At 40.9% G+C, this 22,775-nt stretch overlaps 2 protein-coding genes and 1 long non-coding RNA gene across 19 annotated transcripts in view, besides 7 other annotated features; 1 reads left to right on the top strand and 2 right to left on the bottom strand.

Moving 5' to 3' along the window:
- The window catches only part of BTAF1 (B-TFIID TATA-box binding protein associated factor 1), a 107,668-nt gene extending 106,451 nt beyond the window's left edge, over positions 1 to 1,217 (bottom strand). For all 17 annotated transcript variants that reach the window (NR_165093.1, NR_165097.1, NR_165099.1 and 14 more), the window contains exon 1: positions 897 to 1,217. Coding sequence is in view for 3 of the 17 variants with exons in the window: in NM_003972.3 (NP_003963.1) it covers positions 897 to 910 (14 nt within the window). In the remaining 14 variants the exon portion in view is untranslated. The remainder of the gene's footprint in view (positions 1 to 896) is intronic.
- Positions 675 to 874: an enhancer, noted in NCBI's record as "active region_3766". NCBI's record gives its function as "activates an Ori minimal core promoter by ATAC-STARR-seq in GM12878 lymphoblastoid cells {active_cell/tissue: GM12878}" and the evidence as "EXISTENCE:reporter gene assay evidence [ECO:0000049][PMID:35858748]".
- Positions 935 to 1,234: a silencer, noted in NCBI's record as "silent region_2611". NCBI's record gives its function as "represses an Ori minimal core promoter by ATAC-STARR-seq in GM12878 lymphoblastoid cells {active_cell/tissue: GM12878}" and the evidence as "EXISTENCE:reporter gene assay evidence [ECO:0000049][PMID:35858748]".
- Positions 1,485 to 1,594: an enhancer, noted in NCBI's record as "active region_3765". NCBI's record gives its function as "activates an Ori minimal core promoter by ATAC-STARR-seq in GM12878 lymphoblastoid cells {active_cell/tissue: GM12878}" and the evidence as "EXISTENCE:reporter gene assay evidence [ECO:0000049][PMID:35858748]".
- Positions 1,942 to 2,475: an enhancer, noted in NCBI's record as "H3K27ac-H3K4me1 hESC enhancer chr10:93682269-93682802 (GRCh37/hg19 assembly coordinates)". NCBI's record gives its function as "activates a minimal SCP1, AML or CMV promoter by ChIP-STARR-seq in naive H9 embryonic stem cells {active_cell/tissue: H9 hESC(naive)}" and the evidence as "EXISTENCE:reporter gene assay evidence [ECO:0000049][PMID:30033119]".
- On the top strand, positions 15,501 to 18,403 carry FGFBP3 (fibroblast growth factor binding protein 3). The gene is made up of 2 exons (NM_152429.5): positions 15,501 to 15,589; positions 15,940 to 18,403. The coding sequence occupies exon 2, from the start codon at positions 16,018 to 16,020 to the stop codon at positions 16,792 to 16,794; it is 777 nt and encodes a 258-aa protein (NP_689642.3). The 5' UTR covers positions 15,501 to 15,589; positions 15,940 to 16,017; the 3' UTR covers positions 16,795 to 18,403.
- FGFBP3-AS1 (FGFBP3 antisense RNA 1) lies at positions 15,639 to 16,858 on the bottom strand. The gene is made up of 2 exons (NR_199602.1): positions 16,738 to 16,858; positions 15,639 to 16,090 (listed from the first exon to the last, which is right to left on the bottom strand). It is a non-coding gene; the product is annotated as an FGFBP3 antisense RNA 1 (long non-coding RNA).
- Positions 15,861 to 16,155: an enhancer, noted in NCBI's record as "tiled region #9903; HepG2 Activating DNase matched - State 1:Tss, and K562 Activating DNase unmatched - State 1:Tss". NCBI's record gives its function as "activates a minimal TATA promoter and a strong SV40 promoter by Sharpr-MPRA in HepG2 cells, with weaker activation in K562 cells {active_cell/tissue: HepG2 | K562}" and the evidence as "EXISTENCE:reporter gene assay evidence [ECO:0000049][PMID:27701403]".
- Positions 15,861 to 16,628: a biological region, named in NCBI's record as "Sharpr-MPRA regulatory region 9903".
- Positions 16,059 to 16,628: a silencer, noted in NCBI's record as "silent region_2610". NCBI's record gives its function as "represses an Ori minimal core promoter by ATAC-STARR-seq in GM12878 lymphoblastoid cells {active_cell/tissue: GM12878}" and the evidence as "EXISTENCE:reporter gene assay evidence [ECO:0000049][PMID:35858748]".
- Positions 18,404 to 22,775: the final 4,372 nt, after the last annotated feature.

The raw sequence follows: 22,775 nt of genomic DNA, 5'->3' as shown, positions 1-22,775 counted from the left end.
TCATTTATTCCTTCAGTCTATATGGTAAAAGAATCCAATTCTCATTAAAAGTTACCATATCAACTCTAAGGAACTTGGTGAATCCATCCGATCACTATCACAGAGGAACTATCCCTTAATTACATGTACAGAGGGTCACCAAATTCCGCTTACAAAAGCTTTCCAACCATTCTATCATACCGGAGGAAAAAGTAATGTTTCTCCTATAGCTATACAAATAAATGTCGTTAGTTTTTCTATAGTTTTCCTGGGCTTTCCTGTTGACAGGCAATATTTCAAAAGAATATAAGATCTGTGATTTATCTTCCACGCCTTAGTTACGGAAAATGATGCTAATACGATAATTGGCTTAAGGTTACAACGCTGACGTTGGAATGTTTACTGCCAAACAAAAGGAGAAATTATACTTAATTTTAAAAAACATCTCAGGAAAGAACATACCCCTAAAAACGTAAATTAAAACTGGTAACATAATTAGACGGTCTCTTAGATAATAGTAATTCAGGTTTCCCCTCCATCGACAGTAACTACCAAGTTTTCCCATGAAATGGAGGTTAGGGACCAGCCTTAGAATACTGAGAAAGATAAGAGACTCCCCTAGAATCGAAAGAGGGAAGAGAAACCAGAGAACAGAAACATGGTGAGGAAAGAGAAAAAACAGCTCTAACGTGCCAAGGGGTCTATTAACAAGAAAAAGGCATTATTGAACCGATTTACCCAGGAGTAACCCGAGCCCAAACCCCCGCCGACCACGGGGCGAACTCCGAAGTCTACTGAAGAAAGCTCCAGAGCCCAGTGACAATGAGAACCGCTCTTCTCTAGGAGTGGGGGCTCTAAGAGGAGACCATGCCTTCCCTGAATCGCCTTCCAGTTTGCTCGTCAGGAGCAAGACCCACCTGGAGACCGCCATGGCCGGGCGCCGGCGGTTCGGAGCTCCCCGCGACCTACGCGCCGCGCAGCTGAGGCGCTAGTTTCCAGAGAGCTGAGCGGCGCAGGCCCAGGCCGCGGAGCACAGGGGAGCGGCCGGTGCGGCGTGGGGCGTTCCAGCGCAGGCCCTCGGGCATCTGCCCTGCCGCCTACCCGAGCTCGTCCCCGCGGCGGCCGGTAAGCAGGGGTCCAAGACGGTAGCGGAGGCGGCAGTCCTCCGACCCGCACGACTTCAAACCGGGTACCCTCAGCTCCGCTCTTTGCTGACGCGGGCGTCGGCACGCACAACTGAGCGTCAGCGCGCCGGAAGTGACGTAAGCTCACCGACAGGAGCTTAGCTCGGCGCGAGCGCCTTTGGTTTGGCGGCACGCGCCTAAATAAAAGCGCTTTGTGCTGATGTGGAGAGGGTGTCTAGTCTTAAAACTAGGGAAGGAGGTGAAGTAAGGGTCCCCTTATTTGACAGAGAAGGAAAAAGGCGATTTAGTCCAAGTCCTGGAACTTCGAAAGCTTGGTTTCTAATTCCACACTACCCAGATTCTGCTTCCCACCGTACTGCATCTAGGAAGCAAGATCAGAAGGACCTTAACATGCTCTTGTCCAGGTGGTGAAGCCAGTGGGAGGAGTGAAAGCAAAAAGTCGCTATGACACTGAAGAAATGGCTCAGATGTTTGTCATTATTTGCCAGAAGTTCTGCCTAGGTATTGGAGAGAAGGTCTTCTGACCAACGATTTTGCCAAGTTTGATTTCTCAATTGTTTATGTTGTTTGTACCATCATTTTCTCAGCCAGCCAGATTTGAAAACTACCATTTTTAAATTTTTGTTCCTTTGGGGGACTTATCTGGCTTTTCAATATTTTTAAGTTCATTAGGCTTTTAAACACTTCTGCCAGGCCCTTATCATCTTACACTTGATTTTTTTTTTTTGACCGAGTTTCGCTCTGTCGCCCAGGCTGGAGTGCAGTGGCGCGATCTCGGCTCACTGCCAACCTGCGCTTACCGGGTTCAAGCGATTCTAAATGTGCCTCAACCTCCCGAGTAGCTGGGAGGCACACGAGCCCCACGCCGGGCCAATTTTTTGTATTTTTTAGTAGAGACGGGGTTTCGCCATGTAGGCCAGGCTTGTCTCCTGCTCCTGGCCTCAAGTGATCTGCCCGCCTCGGCCTCCCAAAGTGCTGGGATTACAGGTGTGAGCCACTGCGCCCGGCCCTTAAACTTGATTTTTATGCTAGTAGTCAAAATAATATTTCTCCAATTTTCAGTTCAGCCCATTTTATAGGCCAACAGATTAATCTTCAAAAAACCTCACTGCTTTTTATCATGTCGCTCCTATGCTTATAAAGCATGTCCATTGGCTTCTCATTACCTGAAGAGGCTATGTCTCAATCCTTGAGTCTGTTTTTCATCTGTAAAATGAGGCTAATGAGAAGTACTGCAGAAGATTGTGGGAATAAAATGAGGTCATGAATCTAGAAGAGCTTACAAGAACTTTGTAAACCATAAAGTAGTATATATGTATGTAAAGAGAAAGAAACTAACAAGTACCTGCTGTGTGCTGGGCACATGACATGCATTATCCATATAATTTGTAGGGAAGCCTTGAAAAGTTAGTTTTAATCTTCGTAGACAAGGAAACTAAGCTCAGAAAGGTTAAGTAATTTGCCTCAAGATTCAAGCTAGTAATAATATTTATTGTCCAGTCATTCAACAAATGTTTGTCACCTCTCTGTATCAGAAACTCTGCTTGGCGGTGTTCATGCTATTAAAATCTAATCAAGTTGATGTTCAAGATATCTTTACATTTTCACTTTAGTCACCTACTTGCCTCATCAGTTTATCTCCCACCATTCAATAACAAGCAGATACTTTTTACTGATCGTGTACAGCAATCATTTAGCCAAAATTAAGCACCTACCATATGAGAGACTGGAACTTCTGAAGAAACCAGAACAGACAAGGTGCCTACTCTGGTTGAATTTACATTAAAAGGAAAGGAAAAAGAAAATAGATAAACATTGAAAATATATTTATGTGCTATGTAAAGAGAATGATGGAATTAATGGTATGATTAAAGACCTACTCTTACTGGGTAAATCAGGGAAAAACAGGATTAGCTTAAGCTGAGCCCTAAATGACAAGAGGTAGCTAAATGTGTGACAATCTGGGAGCCTTCCAGGAAGAGGGTATACGTAGTGCAAAGGCGTAAGAGAAGTCTGCTCTGTTGGGAAATGAGATGGGAGAAGTAGAAAGGGATCATCGTAAGGAATTTGGACTTTGCTCCATATGAAGTAGAAAGTCATAGAGTTTTAAGCAAGTGAGTAAAATGATCTTAGTTATATTTTTTAAATCTTTTTATTATCAGATAATTGGGTATATAGTCTAAATGGCATTAGAAGAGAGGAAAGGACTGGTGGTGTAGATTTGTAAAGGATAGTGTAATAATCAAATATATTGATATTGGACCGGCTTGTTTTTAAATCCTTTCTCACCACACTGAATCGCAGTGTCTCCAGGGGGAATTTTAGAACCTCTCTAAGCTTCATCTGGGAAATGAGGATAATAATAGTACTCATAGGGTTGCGGTGATGATTAAATTAATGCACATAAAACATTTAACCAAGTGACTGCCACGAGAAGCCCTCAAAAATATTATTAACTACATTGCTTACTGTTTTTGTTAACAATGGAAACTTGAGTAAGTGGCAATTTCTAGTCTCAATTTATTCAGCTGTGAAACGGGGATAATAATAGTACCAGTTCACCACCGTTATCTATACCAGTTCATCACCCCTGCCAGATGGTTTTCTGAGTTAAGAATTATTTAGGTTTTGAAAAGAAATCCAATGAATATACCTTGTATTATGCAGCATCCCAACAGCTTGTAGGGCAGTACTCTATAATCAAATATATTTATAGAGCTGCAGCAAAATGTATGACTAACCATACTAAGAGGAATAAGTAAAAGACTATAGATAGGCATATGCCAGTTCAGGCCAGGATTTGCTGCCAAATATATATATTTTGAGATGGCATTTTGCTGTTTCCAAGGCTGGTCTTGAACTCCTGGGCTCAAGCAGTCCTCCCATCTCAGCCTCATGAGTAGCTGGGACTATAGGTGAGTTTTTAAAAGTGTGGTTTTCAGACCATTTTCAATTTCAGAATTGTAAATAATAGATCATGAACCTGTACTTATAGAATTGTCATAAGGAAGAAATGAGTTCATACATGACACACTTAGAAAATACTAAGTATTAGCCAGGTGTGATAGTTCATGCCTGTCATCCCAGCACGTTGAGAGGCTGATGTGGGAGGATCGCTTGAGCCCAGGAATTCGAGACCAACCTGGGCAACATAGGGAGACCTCATGTCTACAAAAAAAATTTTTTTTAATTAGGCTGGGTGCGGTGGCTCATGCCTGTAATCCCAGCACTTTGGGAGGCCAAGGCAGGCAGATCATGAGGTCAGGAGATGGAGACCATCCTGGCTAACACAGTGAAACCCAGTCTCTATGAAAAATACAAAAAATTAACCGGGCATGGTGGCGGGCACCTGTAGTCCCAGCTACGCGGGAGGCTGAGGCAGGAGAATGGCATGAACCTGGGAGGCAGAGCTTGCAGTGAGCCAAGATCACGCCACTGCACTCCAGCCTGGGTGATGGAGCAAGATTCCGTCTCAAAAAAAAAAAAAAAAAAAAAGCCAGCTGTTGGTGGCATGTGCCTATAATCTTGGCTACTCAGGAGGCTAAGGTGGGAGGATCCCTTGAGCCCAGGAACTTGAGGCAACAGTAAGCCATGATCATGCTACTCTACTCTAGCCTGGGTGACAGAAGGAGACCCTGTTTCAATGAAAAGAAAAGACTAAGTATTAAATAAATATTAACTATTATGATTAACTATTTTAGTTATTATTATTTATAATAACTAAATGTACACCATTAAGTGAACAAATATTCACATTATAGGAGTTAAGGAAGGAGAAGTGATAACGAAAAAGCTTATTTAGTGAAATTATTGCTAAAAAAACCTTTCAAGTCTTGGGACAGATATAGAGGGGCAGATTCATAAAACTGAAAGATCCCCCAATAAATACAGCCCAAAGACATCCTCACCAAGGCACATAATAATCAAACTGTCAAAATTTAAAGAAAAATAAAGAATTTTAAAAGCAGCAAGAGAAAAGTGTCAAGTCACATATACGGGAATCTCCATTAGACTACCAATAGATTTCTCAGGAGAAACCTTATAGGCCAGGAAAGAATAAGATTATATATTCAAAGTGCTGAAAGGAATGAAGAAATGAAGAAGAAATAAAGTTTTTCCCAAACAAGCAAAAGCTGAAGAAACTCATCACTACTAGGTCTGCCCTACAAGAAATGCCTAATGGAAGTTTCTTTCTTTCCTTTTTTTTTTCCTTCGAAGTCTTGCTCTTGTCCCCCAGGCTGGAGTGCAATGGCACAATCTTGGCTCACTGCAACCTCCGCCTCCTGGGTTCAAGCAATTCTCCTGCCTCAGCCTCCCGAGTAGCTGGGATTACAGGCAACTGCCACCACACCTGGCTAATTTTTGCATTTTTAGTAGAGACGGGGTTTCACCATGTTGCCCAGGCTGGTCTCAAACTCCTGACTCCAGGTGATCCACCTGCCTCGGCCTCCCAAAGTGCTAGGCTTTCTTGCTTTCTTCCTTTCTTCCTTCCCTTCCTTCCTTCCTTCCTTCCTTCCATCCTTCCTTCCTTCTTTTCTTTCTTTCTTTTTTTGACAGGGTCTTGCTTTGTTGCTGGAATTCAGTGGCACAATCATGATTCACTGCCACTTTGAATTCCTCCCAAGTAGATGGAACTATAGGCATGTACCACTGTGCCCAGCTAATATTTATTTATGTATTTATTTACTATAGAGATGGAGTCTTGCCATCTTGCTTAGGCTGGTCTCAAACTCCTGGACTCCAGTGATCCTCCTGTCTTGGCCTCCCAAAGTGTTGAGATTATAGGTATGAGCCACCATGCACAGCCATGGAGTTCTAGTATAAACAAAATGATGATAATAATTATTATGAATACAAATGAAAATATAAAACTCACTAGTAGAGATAAATATATAGATAAACCTAGAATACTCCAGTACTGTACTGGTGATATGTAAAGCATACATATCTCTAGTATAAAGGTCAAATGTCAAAATGGTCAAAAAAATAACAAAAGCTACAATAAGTTGTTAAATAATATACAATATAAAAAGGTGTAAATTGTGACATCAAAAACACAAATTGTGTAGCTGGGCATGGCATATGCCTGTAAACTCAGCTACTCAGGAGGCTGTGGTGGGAGGATCACTTGAGCCTAGAAGTTCAAGGTCAGTCTAGACAATGTAGCAAGACCTTGTCTCTTAAAAAAAAAAAGAAAGAAAGAAAAAAAAAACAGTATGTAGAGGAGAAAAGTCTAGAGTTTTTGCACGTAACAGATGTTATCAGCTAAAAACAGTTGACTATAACTATAAGATGTTTTACGTAAGCCACATGATAACCATAGCAGTTATGCAAACAATAAAGAGAAAGAAAACAAAGCTTAGTACTACAGAGGATTATCAAATTTTTTTAATTAAAAAACAAATAAAGGTGCTACAAAACAACCAGAGATAAACAAAGATGCTAAAAAACAACCAGATATAAAATAACAAAGTAAAAATAGTAAGTCCTTCCTTTAATAATAATCTTGAATGTAATTGGACTAAATTCCCCAGTCAAAAGACATCGAGTTGCTAAATAGATTTTTAAAACAAGACCCAACTATATGCTATCTACAGGAGACGAATTAAGCTTTAAGGATACCCACAGGCTGAAAGTAGAGATGAAAGAAGGTATTATATGCAAATGGTAACCAAAAGACAGCAGGGAGGCCAGGCATGGTGGCTCACACCTGCAATCCCAGCATTTTGGAAGGCCAAGGTGGGAGGCTCGCTTGAGCCCAGGAGTTGGAGACCAGCCTGGGCAATGTAGGGAGACCTCATTGCTACACAAAAATTTAAAAATTAGCCAAGCATGGTGGCATGCACCTGTAGTTCCAGCTACTCAGGTGGCTGAGGCAGGGGGATTACTTGAGCCCAAGAGGTCAAGGCTGTGGTAAGCAATGTTTGTGCCACTGCACTCCAGCCTGGAAAATGGAATGAGACCCTGTGTCAAAAAAAAAAAAAAAAAAAAAAAAAAAAAGCAGAGCTTGCTATACTTACATCTGATAAAATAGACTTTGAGTCAAATCCTGTCACAAGAGACAAAGATGTTCATTATTTAATGATAAACAGGTCAATCCATCAAGAGGACACAATGAGCGTAAATATATATGAACCTAACATTGGAATACTTAAATACATAAAACAAATATTAATGAACATAAAGGGTGAAACAGACAGCAATACAATAATAGTAGGAGACTTCGATATCCCACTTTCAACAACTGATAGAGCAACTGAACAGAAAATTAATAAGGAAATACTGGACTTGAATTGCACTTTTGGCCAAATGAACCTAACAGATATACAGAGAACTTTCCACCCAACAGCAGCAGAATACACATTTTTTCTCTAGTGTACATGGAACATTCTCCAGGATAGAGCATATGTTAAGCCACAAAACTAGTCTTAACAAGCTTATAAGGTCATATCTAGTATTTTTTCAGACCATAGAGGTATTAAACTAGAAATCAATAACAGAAGGAATCTTTAAAAATTCACAAGTATGTAGAAATTAAGCAACATGCTCTTGAACAATCGATGGATCAAAGAAGAAATCAAAAGGTAAATTCACAAAAATCTTGAGGCAAATAACAATGGAAACATAACACATCTGCAGCAAAAGCAGTTCTGAGAGAAGTTTATAACAACAAATGCCTGCATTAAAAAAGAAAATCCCATATAGTTTAACATTATGCCTCAAGGAACTAGAAAAAGAAGCATAAACTAAACCCAAAATTAACAGAAGGGAGGAAACAATGAAAATCAGAACCGAAATAAAACAAATAGAGAACAGAAAAACCGTAGAAAGAATAGAACTAAGAGTTGGTTTTTTGAACAAATAAATAAAATTGATAAATCATGTAAGAGATAAAGAGAAGACTCAAAAAATCAAAGTGAAGAAATTAAAACAGATGTCTTAGAAATAAAAAACAAGATTATAAGGGACTATTATGAACAAGTATATGCCAATAAATTGGATAACCTAGAAAAAATGGATAAATTCCTAGAAAAATACAACCTACCAAGATTGAGTCAGGAAGAAATAGAAGGCATGAGCCGACTAATAACAAATAAAGAGATTGAAGTAGTAATAAAAAACTGGGAGCAGTGGCTCATGCCTGTAATCCCAACACTCTGGGAGGCCAAGGCGGGCAGATCACCTGAGGTGAGGAATTTGAGACCAGCCTGGCCAACATGATGAAACCCCATCTCTACTAAAAATACAAAAATTAGCTGGGCCTGGTGGTGGGTGCCTGTAATTCCAGCTACTTAGGAGGCTGAGGCACAAGAATTGCTTGAACCTGGGAAGCGGAGTTTGCAGTGAGCCAAATGAGCCAATGCAGTGAGCCAGTGCACTACGGCCTGGACGACAGAGCAAGACTCCATCTGAAAAAAACCAAGAAACGCCGGGCACGGTTGCTCATGCCTGTAATTCCAGCACTTTGGGAAGCCAAGGCGGGTGGATTACCTGAGGTCGGGACTTCAAGACCAGTCTGATCAACATGGAGAAACCCCATCTCTACTAAAAATACAAAATTAGCCGGGGTGGTGGCGCATGCCTGTAATCCCAGCTACTCGGGAGGCTGAGGCAGGAGAATCGCTTGAACCTGGGAGGCGGAGGTTGCAGTGAGCCGAGATTGCGCCATTGCACTCCAGCCTGAGCAACAACAGCGAAACTCTGTCTCAAAAAAAAAAAAACAAAAAAACAAAAAACCAACAAAAAAACAAAAAACTGCCCAACAAAGAAAAGCCAAGCCCAGGACCAGATGGCTTCACACTGAATTCTACCAAACTTTCAAAGAAGAATTAATACCAATGCTTCTTAATACAACTCTTCCAAAAAATAAAGCTAGAGGGAGTATTTCCAAATAAACTTTATGAGGCCATCTTCACTTTGATACCTAAGTGAAAGATATCACAAGAAAAGAAAACTATAGGACAATCTCTCTGATGAATATTAATGCAAAAATTCTCAATATGATATTAGCAAGCTGAATTTAACAATACATAAAAAAGATCATACATCATGACCAAATGAGAATTATCCTAGCCATGCAAGTCTGGCTAGGATAAGTGTAACATATGCATATCAATCGATGTGATAGATTTAACAGAATGAAAGATTAAAAACCACATGATCATCTCAATTGATTTGGGAAAAGCATTCAATAAAGTCCAACATTTTTTCTTGATAAAAACTCACAATAATTTAGGTATAGAAGGAAAGGTCCTCAACATATTAAAAGCCATTTATGAAAAACCCACAGCTAACATATAATATTAGTTCCTCATATAATCAATGGGGAAATACTGAAAGCTTTTCCCCTAAGATGTAGTAAAAGACAAAGGCAAGGATGCCCAGTCTCACCACTTCTATGTAACACGGTACTAGAAGTACTACCAAGAGCAATCAGACAAGAAAAATAAGAAGCGTCCAAATTATAAAAGAAGTAAAATTATCTCTATTACAGATGACATTATCTTATTTTTAAAAACTTTAAAGATTTCACAAAAACCTATTAGAACCACTAAATGAATTGAGTTTCAGGATACAAAATGAACATACCAAAATCAGTAGCATTTTTATACACATAATGACCTAACAGAAAAAGAATGCAAGAAAACAATCCCATTTATGATAGGATGAAAAAGTAAAATAAAATCAAATACTTATGAATAAATTTAACTGACTGAGGTGTAAAAATTACACTGAAAACTGTAAAACATTCATGAAAGAAATTGAAGAAGACACAAATAAATGGAAAGCTACCCCATGCTCATGTATTAGAAACATTAATATTGTTAAAATATCCATACTACCCAAAGCAGTATGCAGATTCAACACAATCCCTACAAAAATCCCAGTGCCATTCTTCACAGAAATGGAAAAAGCAATCCTAAAATTTGTATGGAAACATAAAAGACCATGAATTACCAAAACAATTCTGAGAAAGTAAAACAAAGTTGGAGGCATTACACTTCCTGATTTTAAATTATATTGAAGCCTATAATCCCAGCACTTTTGGAGGCTGAGGCAGGAGGATTGCTTTAGCCCAGGAATTTGAGACAAGCCTGGGCAACATAGTGACACTGTGTCTCTATGAAAAGTAGAAAAAATTATCCAGGTCTGGTGGCACATGTCTGTAGTCCCAGCTACTCAGGAGGCTGATGTGGGAGGATTGCTTGAGCCTAGAGTTTGAGGCTGCAGTGAGCCATGATCATGCCACTGCCTTCCAGCCTGGGCAACAGAGCGAGACCCTGTCTCAAAAAAAATTATATTATAAAGCTTTAGTAATCAAAACAGTAATGGTACTGGCATAAAAACGGACACATAGAACAATGGAACAGAATAGAGAAGAAATAAATTCAAACATATATGGTCAACTAATTTTTGATAAGAGACACAATGGGATAAGGGTAGTCTCAATAGTGCTGGGAAAACTGGATTTCCGTATGCAAAAGAATGAAATTTGATCATTATCTTACACTATACAAAAACATCAACTCAAAATGGATAAAGAACCTAATTGTAAGACCAGGAACTATCAAACTCCCAGAAGAGAACATAGGGGAAAATCCCCTGGATATGGACCTTGGCAATGAGTTTTGGACATCACACCAAAAGCTCAAGCCACAAAAGCGACAATAAATAAATGGTACTACATGAAACTAAAAAGCTTCTGCACAGCCAAGGAAACAATCAACAAATAAGTGGCAGCTACAGATTGGGAAAAAATATCTGTGAACCATATATCAAATAAGGGGTTACTGTCCAAAATTTATAAAGCACTCATACAACTCAATGGTAGAAAAACAAATAACCTGATTTAAAAATGGGCAAAAAGACCTGAATACACATTTTTCCAAAGAAAACATGAAAATCACCAACAGGTATATGAAAGGGTGCTCAACACCATTAATCATCAGGGAATTGTAAATCAAAACCACTATGAGATACTACCTCACACCCGTTAGGATGGCTATTACCAAAAAGTCAAAAGATAAATGTTGGCAAGGATGTGGGGAAAAGGTTGTACACTCTTGGTGAGAATGTAGATTGGTACAGCCATTATGGAAAACAGTATGGAGATTTGTAAAGAAATTAAAAATCAACTACTATGTGACCCAGCAATTCCTCTTCTGGGCATATATCCAAAGAAAATGAAATGATCACCTCATAAAGATATCTGCACTTTCATGTTAATTGCAGCATTATTTACAATAGCCAAGGTATGGAAACAACCTAAATGGGTAAACAAAATGTGGTATATACATACAATGGAATATTATTCAGACTTAAAAATGAAATAAATTCAGATACATGCTATAACACAGATAAACCTTGAAGACATTGTGTTAAGTGAAATAAGCCAATCACAAAGGACAAATACTGTAGGATTACACTTACCATAAGATATCTAGAGTGGTCAAATTCACAGAGACAGAAAGTAGAATGATGGTTGCCAGGGGCTGGGGGAAGGGAGGAATGGGTACAGAGTTTCAGTTTTGGAGGACGAAAGAAAGTTCTGGAGATGGATAGCTATAATGGTTGCAGAACAGTGTGAATCTTTTTAATGTCACTGAAGAGTACACCTAAAAATAGTTAAAACAACAAATTTTATGTTATGCATATTATGCCACAGTTTTTTAAAAAATAACTCCCCTTTTCTGATATTGCATAATATGTCTATGTGCCCTTACTTTTTACTCTGGGAACAGTGTTTGTGACAGCGAAGCATGGTCTCTGGAGTATCTCTTAATTACAGCTTTCAGATAATAAATTTTTTTATTGCAATTAGAGCATTATGCCACAAGATGTCATTCTTTCATTAAAAATGGTACCAATTCGGTTCAGTAGTTGTTAACAAAAAGTAATGCCAAGGCAACAGACAAAAGCCTGGGATTACTCATCCATGCTTCACATATACAAAGACAGTTTTCTGGGAAAGAAAGGGCTTCCAAGTGTGAAATGTATTAATTAGCTACTCTTATTTTTGAAACTTGTTAATGTTTCTAATCTTCATAGGTACAAATTGGTTTTCATTATAAGTTGAATTGGTGTAATTTTTTTTTTTATTTTTATGTTTTTTGTTTTTTTGAGAAAGAGTCTTGCTCTGTTGCCCAGGCTGGAGTGCAGTGGTGTGACCTCGGCTCACTGCAATCTCTGCCTCCCGGATTCAAGTGATTCTCCTGCCTCAGCCTCCCGAGTAGCTGGGATTACAGGCGTGCACTACCATGCCCAGCTACTTTTTGTATTTTTAGTAGAGATGGGGTTTTGCCATGTTGGCCAGGCTGGTCTCGAACTCCTGACCTCAGGTGATCCACCCGCCTTGGCTTCCCAAAGTGCTGGGATTACAGATGTGAGCCACCATGCCCAGCCTGAATTGGTATAATTAAAACATAACTAATAGTAAAATACAAAGACAAAACATAAAGATCACTGATCACTGAAAGATGTAAGTGGTTTTATCACTAAATGATGTGTGAACCTGGACAAGTTATCTAGTTTCTCTGATTTTACCAGAGTGTTAAAAACTTCCTTTCTGAAGTCAATATACATTGCTATATATTTAATATATACTACTATATATTTAAACATATTCTTCTAATTCTAAAGTATTTTGGTTTTTATAGTAGTAACCAAACTATAATTGTTCAAATATAATACTAACAGGAGTTCAGTAATAGAAAATGCTATATGCAAGAGGACATTAGGAAATATAATAAGAATTCCTGATATCTTGAGGAAGTATTTAAGTAAAATATTTACTTGTGTAAAAAAATTACAGTCAGAGGTATAAACTTCTGCAATTAAAAAAAATCACATTTATTAATGAGAACATTTTTAAAAGATGATGGAATATTCTGAAGTTTTAAAACAGCTTTGCTAAGGGTCATTTCTGTGTGTCACTTTATTTCTTTTTATATAGCTATAGTATATTTAAACAATAATGCTGTCTTTTATAAGGGTTTGTCTATTTACCTATTCTTTACTCAGACATTGATGTAGACCTTGTCAGATTATTCTGAGTATTGTTAACAGTGCCTTTTTGATGGAATTCACACTTTTTGGCTGTCAACTTGTGCCATATACACACAAAATTTTGTGGAAGGCAGTTTTAATTTTTTGAAGAACATCTGTCAAAATTTAAGAAAACAAATGTATAAAATTCCATTTTTTCCAGTGTTTAGCATTTCTAGTAAGCAGTGAGGTTTTTTGTTTGACATACAGTGATGATGGCATTATTGACAAGCTATACATGAGACTGCAGATTATACTGAATCATGTTAAATGTACAGAAATAAAATATTAGATTTATATCAAACTTTCGCATTTGAACCAGTGGGGAAAACCCCACAGAAATCAGTAAGTTAACATTTCAATGTCTTTCTTATTTGACTAAGTGGAAAGAGAGTCTTTAAAATGTATAACCTGCCATTATGTAATTTGGTTTCATTTTATTCTACCTGTTGTGTGAGTTTAGTATATTTAATTTACTTTGTGTTACTCTACATACTGTTTATTTTTGTTACAGTTTTTAATTGAAGATGGACTCTGAAAGTGGTATAGGACCAGTGTCTTATTAATATCATTAATATATTAAGAGGAGCCACACAAAACCCATGACAAAATGAATGGAAATATTCTTTCTAAAAATTTAGAAAATTTTATACTTTTGCATTTATTATGTAAAATTATTTGTTTTACAATATCAAAATTTTTCGTTTAAAGAAAAAAATGCCATGAAACATTTGAACTGATGAGCCACAGAACTTCAGTTGAAATTTTTTTCACTTTTTAGCATGCTAAATATACATCTCAGTTTAAATATTCTGTTTAATGGCCATTTATAAATTCAAGCACTACCACTGGTCAGTTTTGTGTGATAGAATAAAAATATGTTACCTGCAGTGTAAGTATAGCACACTGTCAAATTCTTTTCCTTAAGGTGCACAGTAAATGTACAGATAGTTATAGGCCACTGTTTTTGCAATGTAGTACATTTCTAATCTATTATTCCTAACCTATTATAACTGTTTGCAGAGAGAAAATAATTGAATTTTTCTAATAATCTGTAAAATTATGCTAACTTCTACAAGTAGGCTTCTAAATAAAAATTTTAAAAAGAGCAAAAAAAAAAAAAAAGAAAGAAAAAACAGCTTTGCTTGGTCAGCACTTTGAGAGGCTGAGGCAGGTGGCTCATCTCAGGTCAGGAGTTCGATACCAGACTGGGCAACATGGTGAAACCCCTTCTCCACTAAAAATTAGCTGGGTGTTGTGGCAGGCACCTGTAATTCCAGCTACTGGGGAGGCTGAGGCAGGTGAATCGCTTGAACCGGGAAGGCAGAGGTTGCAGTGAGCCGAGATAGCACCACTGCGCTCCAGCCTGGGTGACAGAGTGAGCTCCCGTCTCAAAACAAACAAACAAACAAACAAACAAACAAACCCCCGCACACACACACAATCCCCCCCTCCAGAAAAAGCAGCTTTGCTTAAATGTAACATTTTCAAGATTCAAGAACACATTCATTCTCTCTCTCTTTTTTTTTTTTTTTGAGAGGCAGTCTCGCCCTGTCCCGGGTTCAAGTGATTCTCCTGCCTCAGCCTCCTGAGTAGCTGGGATTACAGGCATCTGCCACCACGCCTGGCTAATTTTTGTATTTTTAGTAGAGACGGGATTTCACCAGGCCAGGCTGGTCTCACATTCTTAACTATTATACCATTTCAATTGGTAATCTTACCGTTCAACTACTATAATACAAATAATTTTTTTAAACTTCTAATTTTTGGAGGACCCTTATAACTGATTTCTAATACCTAAAAATAATAAAAAGCCCAAATGTCCACTCCTGGGTGAACTGCTGGGCACTATTGTATGTTAATAAACTAGGATATTATATTTTTATTAGTAGTAACAATTATTAAGATTGAGAGTCTTAAGAAAGGCTATTGGAAATAATAGGTAAAAATGTAGAACTCAGAATATGAGAAATAGAATGTAAATGATATAATTGTGTAAAAAATGCCTAGTTTAGAATACTGAAGTTTGTTTTGTTTCATTTTATTTAACTTTTAAAACTTAGATCTTTTGTTTAATTTTTATTTTTTGGATGGTTAAGTACATGAAAGAAGAAAAACTTGGTTAATTTTGCCTGATTATTTTAAACATTGGAAGCAAAATACAAGATTTGTATTTCATACTACAGGACCGCTTCCATCATCCATCTGGAGAGACAGAGAGAGAGAGGGAGAGAGAGAGAGAAGCGCGGCGGTGATAAGTCTCCCAGTGTGAGAGAAATCGGGGAGGGGCGAAGAAGGGTAGGCCTCTTCTGTTCCATTGATACCACGTTCATTCACAGGGAGCCGGCTAAAACAGACTACTCCCCCGTGCAGTCGTTCCCTCTACCCTAATAAGGCTTTGGCGCCTCTCCCAGAACTCGGTAAGTTCAAAGTGTAGTAAAGTGCATGTTTCCAAGGAATCATCTGAAATGATTTTGTAGATAGTTTATTGCAGGTTGGAGAAGGGAGAAAATGAAGGAAGGGGTAGAGGGGGCAATTATCACGCATCGTTTTGCTATCGTATTTGCAAGGGGAAGAAAATCTCAATGCATACATGGTTCGAAAGTGATTATTTAGACAGTAAGCAGTTTCCCCAGGAAAGCTCCTCAGAGGGTCTCCTCGCAGGCTGCAGATTCTAGAAAGTCTGCGGAAGAGTAGTTCGCAGGTGCATGTGTCTGGGCGAAGCGCTGCGTGTGGCTCAGTTGGTGGCAGTCTCTGCCTCTGTCCGCAGGTCCTGGGGAATGCTCTTTGCCTGGTCCAGCCCCGACAAACGTGGTCTGAGAACAGCGGAGCGCGGAAACCGCGGAGCATGACTCCTCCGAAGCTGCGAGCGTCGCTGTCGCCGTCGCTGCTGCTGCTGCTGAGTGGTTGCCTCCTCGCGGCTGCTCGGAGGGAGAAAGGGGCGGCTAGCAACGTGGCGGAGCCGGTCCCCGGGCCCACTGGCGGCTCCTCGGGTCGCTTCCTCAGCCCCGAGCAGCACGCGTGCAGCTGGCAGCTCCTGCTGCCCGCCCCGGAGGCCGCAGCGGGCAGCGAGCTGGCGCTGCGCTGCCAGAGCCCGGACGGGGCGCGCCACCAGTGCGCCTACCGCGGGCATCCGGAGCGCTGCGCAGCCTACGCCGCTCGCCGCGCGCACTTCTGGAAGCAGGTGCTGGGAGGGCTGCGCAAGAAGCGGAGGCCCTGTCACGACCCCGCGCCGCTCCAGGCCCGCTTGTGCGCGGGCAAGAAGGGCCACGGCGCCGAGCTGCGGCTAGTGCCCCGCGCGTCCCCGCCCGCACGCCCCACCGTCGCGGGATTCGCGGGGGAGTCCAAGCCCCGGGCCCGGAACCGGGGGCGGACCCGGGAGCGTGCGTCCGGCCCAGCCGCTGGGACCCCGCCTCCCCAAAGCGCACCGCCCAAAGAAAACCCCTCAGAGAGGAAGACCAACGAGGGCAAGAGGAAGGCGGCCTTGGTCCCCAACGAGGAGCGACCCATGGGGACCGGGCCCGACCCCGACGGGCTGGACGGGAACGCGGAGCTCACGGAGACCTACTGCGCTGAGAAGTGGCACTCCCTCTGCAACTTCTTTGTCAATTTCTGGAACGGCTGAGACTGCCTGCCGGCTTAGGGAGGGTTGATGGGGGAGGCGTGGGGAAGGGAAAGCTAAGGGCGTCTTAGACCGGGGGGTACTGTGATAGAGATTGGGGAGAAGTCCAGGTTCTCGAATGGGGGTGGGGGCAAGGGTAAGGGTGAGATGCTTGGGATGAGAGTGTAAGGGGTATGGAGAATCTCTGGGATAGCAGAGAAGTTAAAAATTTTGAAAAGTCTCAGTCCTGATTAAGAGCAGGAAAAATAATGGAAACAGAAATAGGCGTACTTTAAATGTGCAAAAACTGGAGACTGGGGAGAGAAATCGATGCAGAGGGAGGCTGAGAATAAGGGGGAGATAGAGTGACTAAAGTGATGTGAGTCCCATGTGGGGAGGGGGATGCAATGTTTATTGTTTAACATTTCTATTAAATGCAGCCATGAGCAATTGCCAACCTGAGCCAGGTTGAATCAATGTCTTCTCACTTAATCAGCTAACAAGACTGCAGACTTTTTTTCCGTTTCTGAATTGGTATAAACTTGGATGCGGCGTGGTGGGTGTCATAGATAACCTCTATAGGGACAGAAGCCTCACAGGTCAAAACTGGCTCCAAGGAAAGTTTTGCAGAATGATTTCCTTTCCATTCTTTTAGAAGAGCTACCTTTTTTTTTTTTTTTCCCTGACAGGGTCTGGCTTGCCCAGGCTGGAGTGCGGTGGCTAGTCACAGGTGTAATAATAGGCACTGCAGTCTCCAACTCCTGGCCTCAAGGGATCCTCACATCTTAGCCTCCAGAATAGCTAGGAGTAGGAGTAGCTGGGACTACAAGCATGCACAGCTGCACTTGGCTTAGAAGTGCTACTTTATTTTTATTTTTGAGACAGGGTCTTGTGTCATCCAGACTGGAGCAGTGGTGCAATTATGGCTCACTGCGGCCTCGACATTCCAGTCTCAAGTGATCCTCTGCCTCAGCCTCCGGAGTAGCCAGGACTACAGGGGTGTGCCACTAGAAGTGCTACTTTTTAACGAAATGGTGACTAATGTTCTGGAACTTTCCCATTAACCTTCTGCATTTAGAAGGAATTATAGATGTTGAGTGCTCCAGTAAACAGTGATTCTCTTTATATCTGATTTTTTTTTTTAAACAGCTAAAATGTAAGTATGTATCTCAGAGTCATTTTGACCATTATGGAAGTTGTATCTCTCTGTTTCATGTAACTAATTATTAATATATTTCATTTTTAGTGTGATGTAATGAGAGACTGTGTGTGTATGTTAGGTGCTCAATAAAAACTGTATGGTTAGATTTAAAGAAGTGGCAAGGCAATGGAAATTCTACCTGCATTTGATCTACTTCCAAGTACACCTTGAATTAAGTTCTTAAACACATCTTGAATTGCTGGGAAAAGACAGAAACTAAGAAGTTGACATAAAGCAAGAGTCACAAACTGGCAGCCACCTGGCCTTATCATTGTTCTATTTGATTTGCACCCTGGTTCTCTTTCTTTTTCCCTTCCTCCCCACCTTCCTCCCATCCATTGTTGAATCTGTGGATGCAGAGCCCACGGATGTGGAGGGGCAACTATATATATGTTTTTCCATTATATATATAAATGTGTGTGTGTGTATATATGTGTGTGTGTGTTGCAACCACTTATTTGGGAACTTGAAGTTAAATCCTCATGGTCATTCCCTTAACAAGGTGAGATCGCTTTATTCTGAATATTTTGGTCCTCCATTTGAAGCATACCATTGCATACTATATTAAAACAACAACTTCATAGTCCTTGCACCCTAAACACCTATGATCTCAACACAAAATTTGTTCATAATCAGTTAAATTCTAATTCTTCAAATAAGAGTAAATCATTACTTTATTATTCTCAACTCTACAAGTTACATATGGTGGCAGACTATAAGTATATAATATAGTTACTTACATGATCCCTACCTCCTGGTATTCTCACCTCTGTGTATTCCCCTTTCTTTGATTATGCGCAGGGCCTGTGAATTGCTTGTAAGCATGGTGGGTACACTATCATCTGAAAGATGTATCTTAGTTTTCCACATTCTGCTGATTGAAAGAAAACCCTGGGTAAGTTCCAATCTTGCTATTCAACAGGACAAGGTTCAAGGCCAAAACAAGAGTCCCAGAAAAGGTCAAGCTAGAAGCAGCAGGGAGTCAGGCCAACCTGAGTAGAAATGAACAATGGAGGCTCTAGGGAAGAATCAATTTCCTTGCCCTTTCCAGCTTCTAGAGCTGTCCACATTCCTTGGCCCTTGGTTTTCTTCCATCTTCGAAGCCAACTATCATCTCATTCCAACCTCTGTTTTTTTTTTTTTTTTTTTGAGACGGAGTTTTGCTCAGTCGCCCAGGCTGGAGTACAGTGGCGCGATCTCGGCTCACTGCAAGCTCCACCTCCCGGGTTCATGCCATTCTCCTGTTTCAGCCTCCCGAGTAGCTGGGACTACAGGCACCCGCCACCACGCCCGGCTAATTTTTTGTATTTTTTTTTTTTTTAGTAGAGACAAGGTTTCACCATGTTAGCCAGGATGGTCTCGATCTCCTGACCTCGTGATCCGCCCGCCTTGGCCTCCCAAAGTGCTGGGATTACAGGCGTCAGCCACCGCGCCCGGCTCCAACCTCTGCTTTTATCATCACATCTCCTTCTCTGACTCCCTCTTTCTTGCCTCGCTCTTTTTTTTACTTAAAAAGACGCTTACAAATACACGGGGCCCATTCAAATAATCCAGGATAATTTTTCAATCTCAAGATCAGTTGGTTAGCCGACTTAATTCTATCTGTAACCTTAATTTCCCATTGAAATCTAATGCAATTTATCCCAATATATTCACAGGTTCTGGGGATTAAGATGTCAACACGGGGCAGGGGTGGGAGAAGTGGGGGCGGCGGGGGGGAAGTGGGAGCATTATTCTGCTTACCACAAGTGGCTACATCCAACAACGTAAACTCCAAAACAAAGGAAAAGGATAAAGAGGGACATTATATAACGAGAGAAGGATCAACTCACAAAAAAGACAACAATCCTAAATGTGAGTGTACCTAACAGTGCAACAAAATACATGAAGCAAAAACCAATAGAATCGAAAGGAGGAATAGATAAATTCGCTATTTTATGTGGAGACTTCAACGTTTCTCTTTCAGTAATAAATAGAAAAAGAAGATAGAAAATCGGTAAGAATATAAAAGACCTGAACAATACTATCAACAAACTTGACCTAATTGACCTTTCTGGAATACTGTATCCTATAACAGCAGAACAGCAGACTACACATTTTCAAATATGCACGGGACATTCACCAATATAGGCCATATTCTGGACCATAAAATGAATTGCAACATATTTAAAATAATTTAAATAATACAAAGTATGTTCTCTGACCATAAAGGATTTAAGTTAGGAATCAATGAAAGAAAGAGATTTGGAAGTTTTCCAAATATTTAGAAATCAACATACTTCTAGATAACCCATGGGTCAGAGAGGAAGTCATAAGGGAAATCAGAAAATATTTTGCACTGAAAAATTATTCTTCTGCCTAGAAGTTTTAAGATTCTCTTTTTTAGGTAGGATTTCATTGTTTTCTATGAGATGCCACTTTTCTTTGAAATACTATAGTGTTTTCACAATGAGATGCCCAGCCAATGAGGTCATGAAATCCATTTAGTGCATTAAAAAAAAAAAAAAAAGGACAAAAGAAAATAGAATACAGGCCGGGTGCACTGGCTCGTGCCTGTACTCTCAGCACTTTGGGAGGCCAAGGCGGGCAGATCATGAGGTCAGGAGTTCGAGACCAGCCTGACCAACATGGTGAAACCCCATCTCTACTAAAAATACAAAAATTAGCCAGGCATGGTGGCACGTGCCCGTAATCCCAGCTACTCAGGAGGCTGAGCCAGGAGAATAGCTTGAACTGGGGAGGCGGAGGTTGCAGTGAACCAAGATGGCACCACTACACTCCAGCCTGGGCAACAGAGGAGACTTCGTCTCAAAAAAAAAAAAAAAAGAAAAGAAAAGAAAATAGAATATAAAATGTCGGGCCGGGTGCGGTGGCTCACACCTGTAATCCCAGCCTTTGGGAAGCTGAGGCAGGCGGATCTCTTGAGGACAAGAGTTTGAGACCAGCCTGGCCAACAAGGTGAAACCCTGTCTGTACTTAAAATATAAAAATTCGCCTGTAATCCCAGCACTTTGGGAGGCTGAGGCAGGCGAATCACCTGAGGTCAGAAGTTCTAAACCAGCGTGACCAACATGGAGAAACCCCAACTTTACCAAAAATACAAAATTAGCTGGGCATGGTGGTGTATGCCTGTAATCCCAGCTACTCGGGAGGCTGAGGCAGGAGAATCACTTGAACCTGGGAGGCAGAGGTTGTGGTGAGCCAAGATCACGCCATTGCATTCCAGCCTGGGCAACAGAGCGAGACTGCAACAACAACAACAAAAAAAGTGGCCGGGCACGGTGGCTCATGGCTCACGCCTGTAATCCCACCACTTTGGGAGGCCGAGACGGGCAGATCACCTGAGCTCAGGAGTTTGAGACCAGCCTGGCCAAGTGGTGAAATCCCGTCTCTACCAAAAATATAAAAATTAGCTGGGCGTGGTGATGGGGGCTTGTAGTCCCAGCTACTCAGGAGGCTGAGGCAGGAGAATCACTTGAACTGGGGAGGTGGAGGTTGCAGTGAGCTGAGATAGTGCCACTGCACTCCAGCCTGGGCGACAAGAGTGAAACTCCGTTTCAAAAAAAAAAAAAAAAAAAAGAATATAAAATGTTGGCCTGGCACGGTGGCTCATGTCTGTAATTCCAGCACTTTGGAAGGCCAGGGCGGGCAGATCGCTTGAGCCCGGGAATTCGAGACCAGCCTAGACAACACGGCAAAACCCTGTATCTACAAAAAATTTAAGAAAAAAAAAAAAAAAAACTTTTGCCAGGCGCGGTGGCTCACGCCTGTAATCCCAGCACTTTGGGAGGCCGAGGCTGGCGGATCACGAGGTCAGGAGATCGAGACCATCCTGGCTAACACGGTGAAACCCCATCTCTACTAACAATACAAAAAATTAGCCAGGCTTGGTGGCGGGCGCCTGTAGTCCCAGTTTCTCAGGAGGCTGAGGCAGGAGAATGGCATGAACCTGGGAGGCGGAGCTTGCAGTGAGCCGAGATCACGCCACTGTGCTCCAGCCTGGGTGAAAGAGCAAGACTCCGTCTCAAAAAGAAAAAAAAAAGGAAAAAAAAACACTTTTGCACTAAAGGAACATAGGACATATCAAAATTTGTCTATTGTAGCTAAAGCATTACTTAGAGATAAATATAGAGCATTAAATGCACATATTAGAGAAGGTAGTGGCAGAGCTAGAACAGAAGCCAGCTCTCCCCAGGCTTTCTACGATACAGCATTGCAGGCGTTTCAGGATGAGAGTTTCTTCACGGCTCTTGGTGGTAAACTGCCAGTTATTCACCCCAAATCTAGTCTCACCTTTTTTTCCCTGAGTGCATGCCACCTAGCCAGATACATTTTCTAGCCTTTCTTGCAGAGAGGTGTGATAAAAATGACCAAATTTTTTCCAAATGCAACTTCAATTTCAATGTGCTTTAAAAGATATTGCTTGCCTTGAACTTTCCTTTCTCCTCTCTAAGAGGTGGGACTTAGATGCTCTTGCAATTCAACTTTAACCATGCAGAGGAATACATTACCCTAGAGGATGACAGTGTAACAAGATGGAAGGAATCTGAGTTCCTGAACAACCTGGTGGAAAACTGCCTCACCACTCTGCATAGGCTAGACCTTTATATGAGAGAAAAACAAAATGTACAATAAATACTCATTATTTGTGGATTCTGTATTTGTGATTTTCCCTACTTGCTAAAATTTATTGGTAACTCCAAAAGCAATACTCATTGTGCCTTTGCAATCATTGGTGGATACACACCTGCAGAGAGTGGTGAAAAATTTGTCATCCAACATGCTTGTTCCCAGCTGAGGTCAA

This window comes from Homo sapiens, chromosome 10 (genome assembly GCF_000001405.40).
Source record: "Homo sapiens chromosome 10, GRCh38.p14 Primary Assembly".
NCBI lineage: Eukaryota > Metazoa > Chordata > Mammalia > Primates > Hominidae > Homo > Homo sapiens.
Note: the sequence above shows the minus strand (reverse complement) of the source record. Positions and strands in the feature narration are given on the sequence as shown.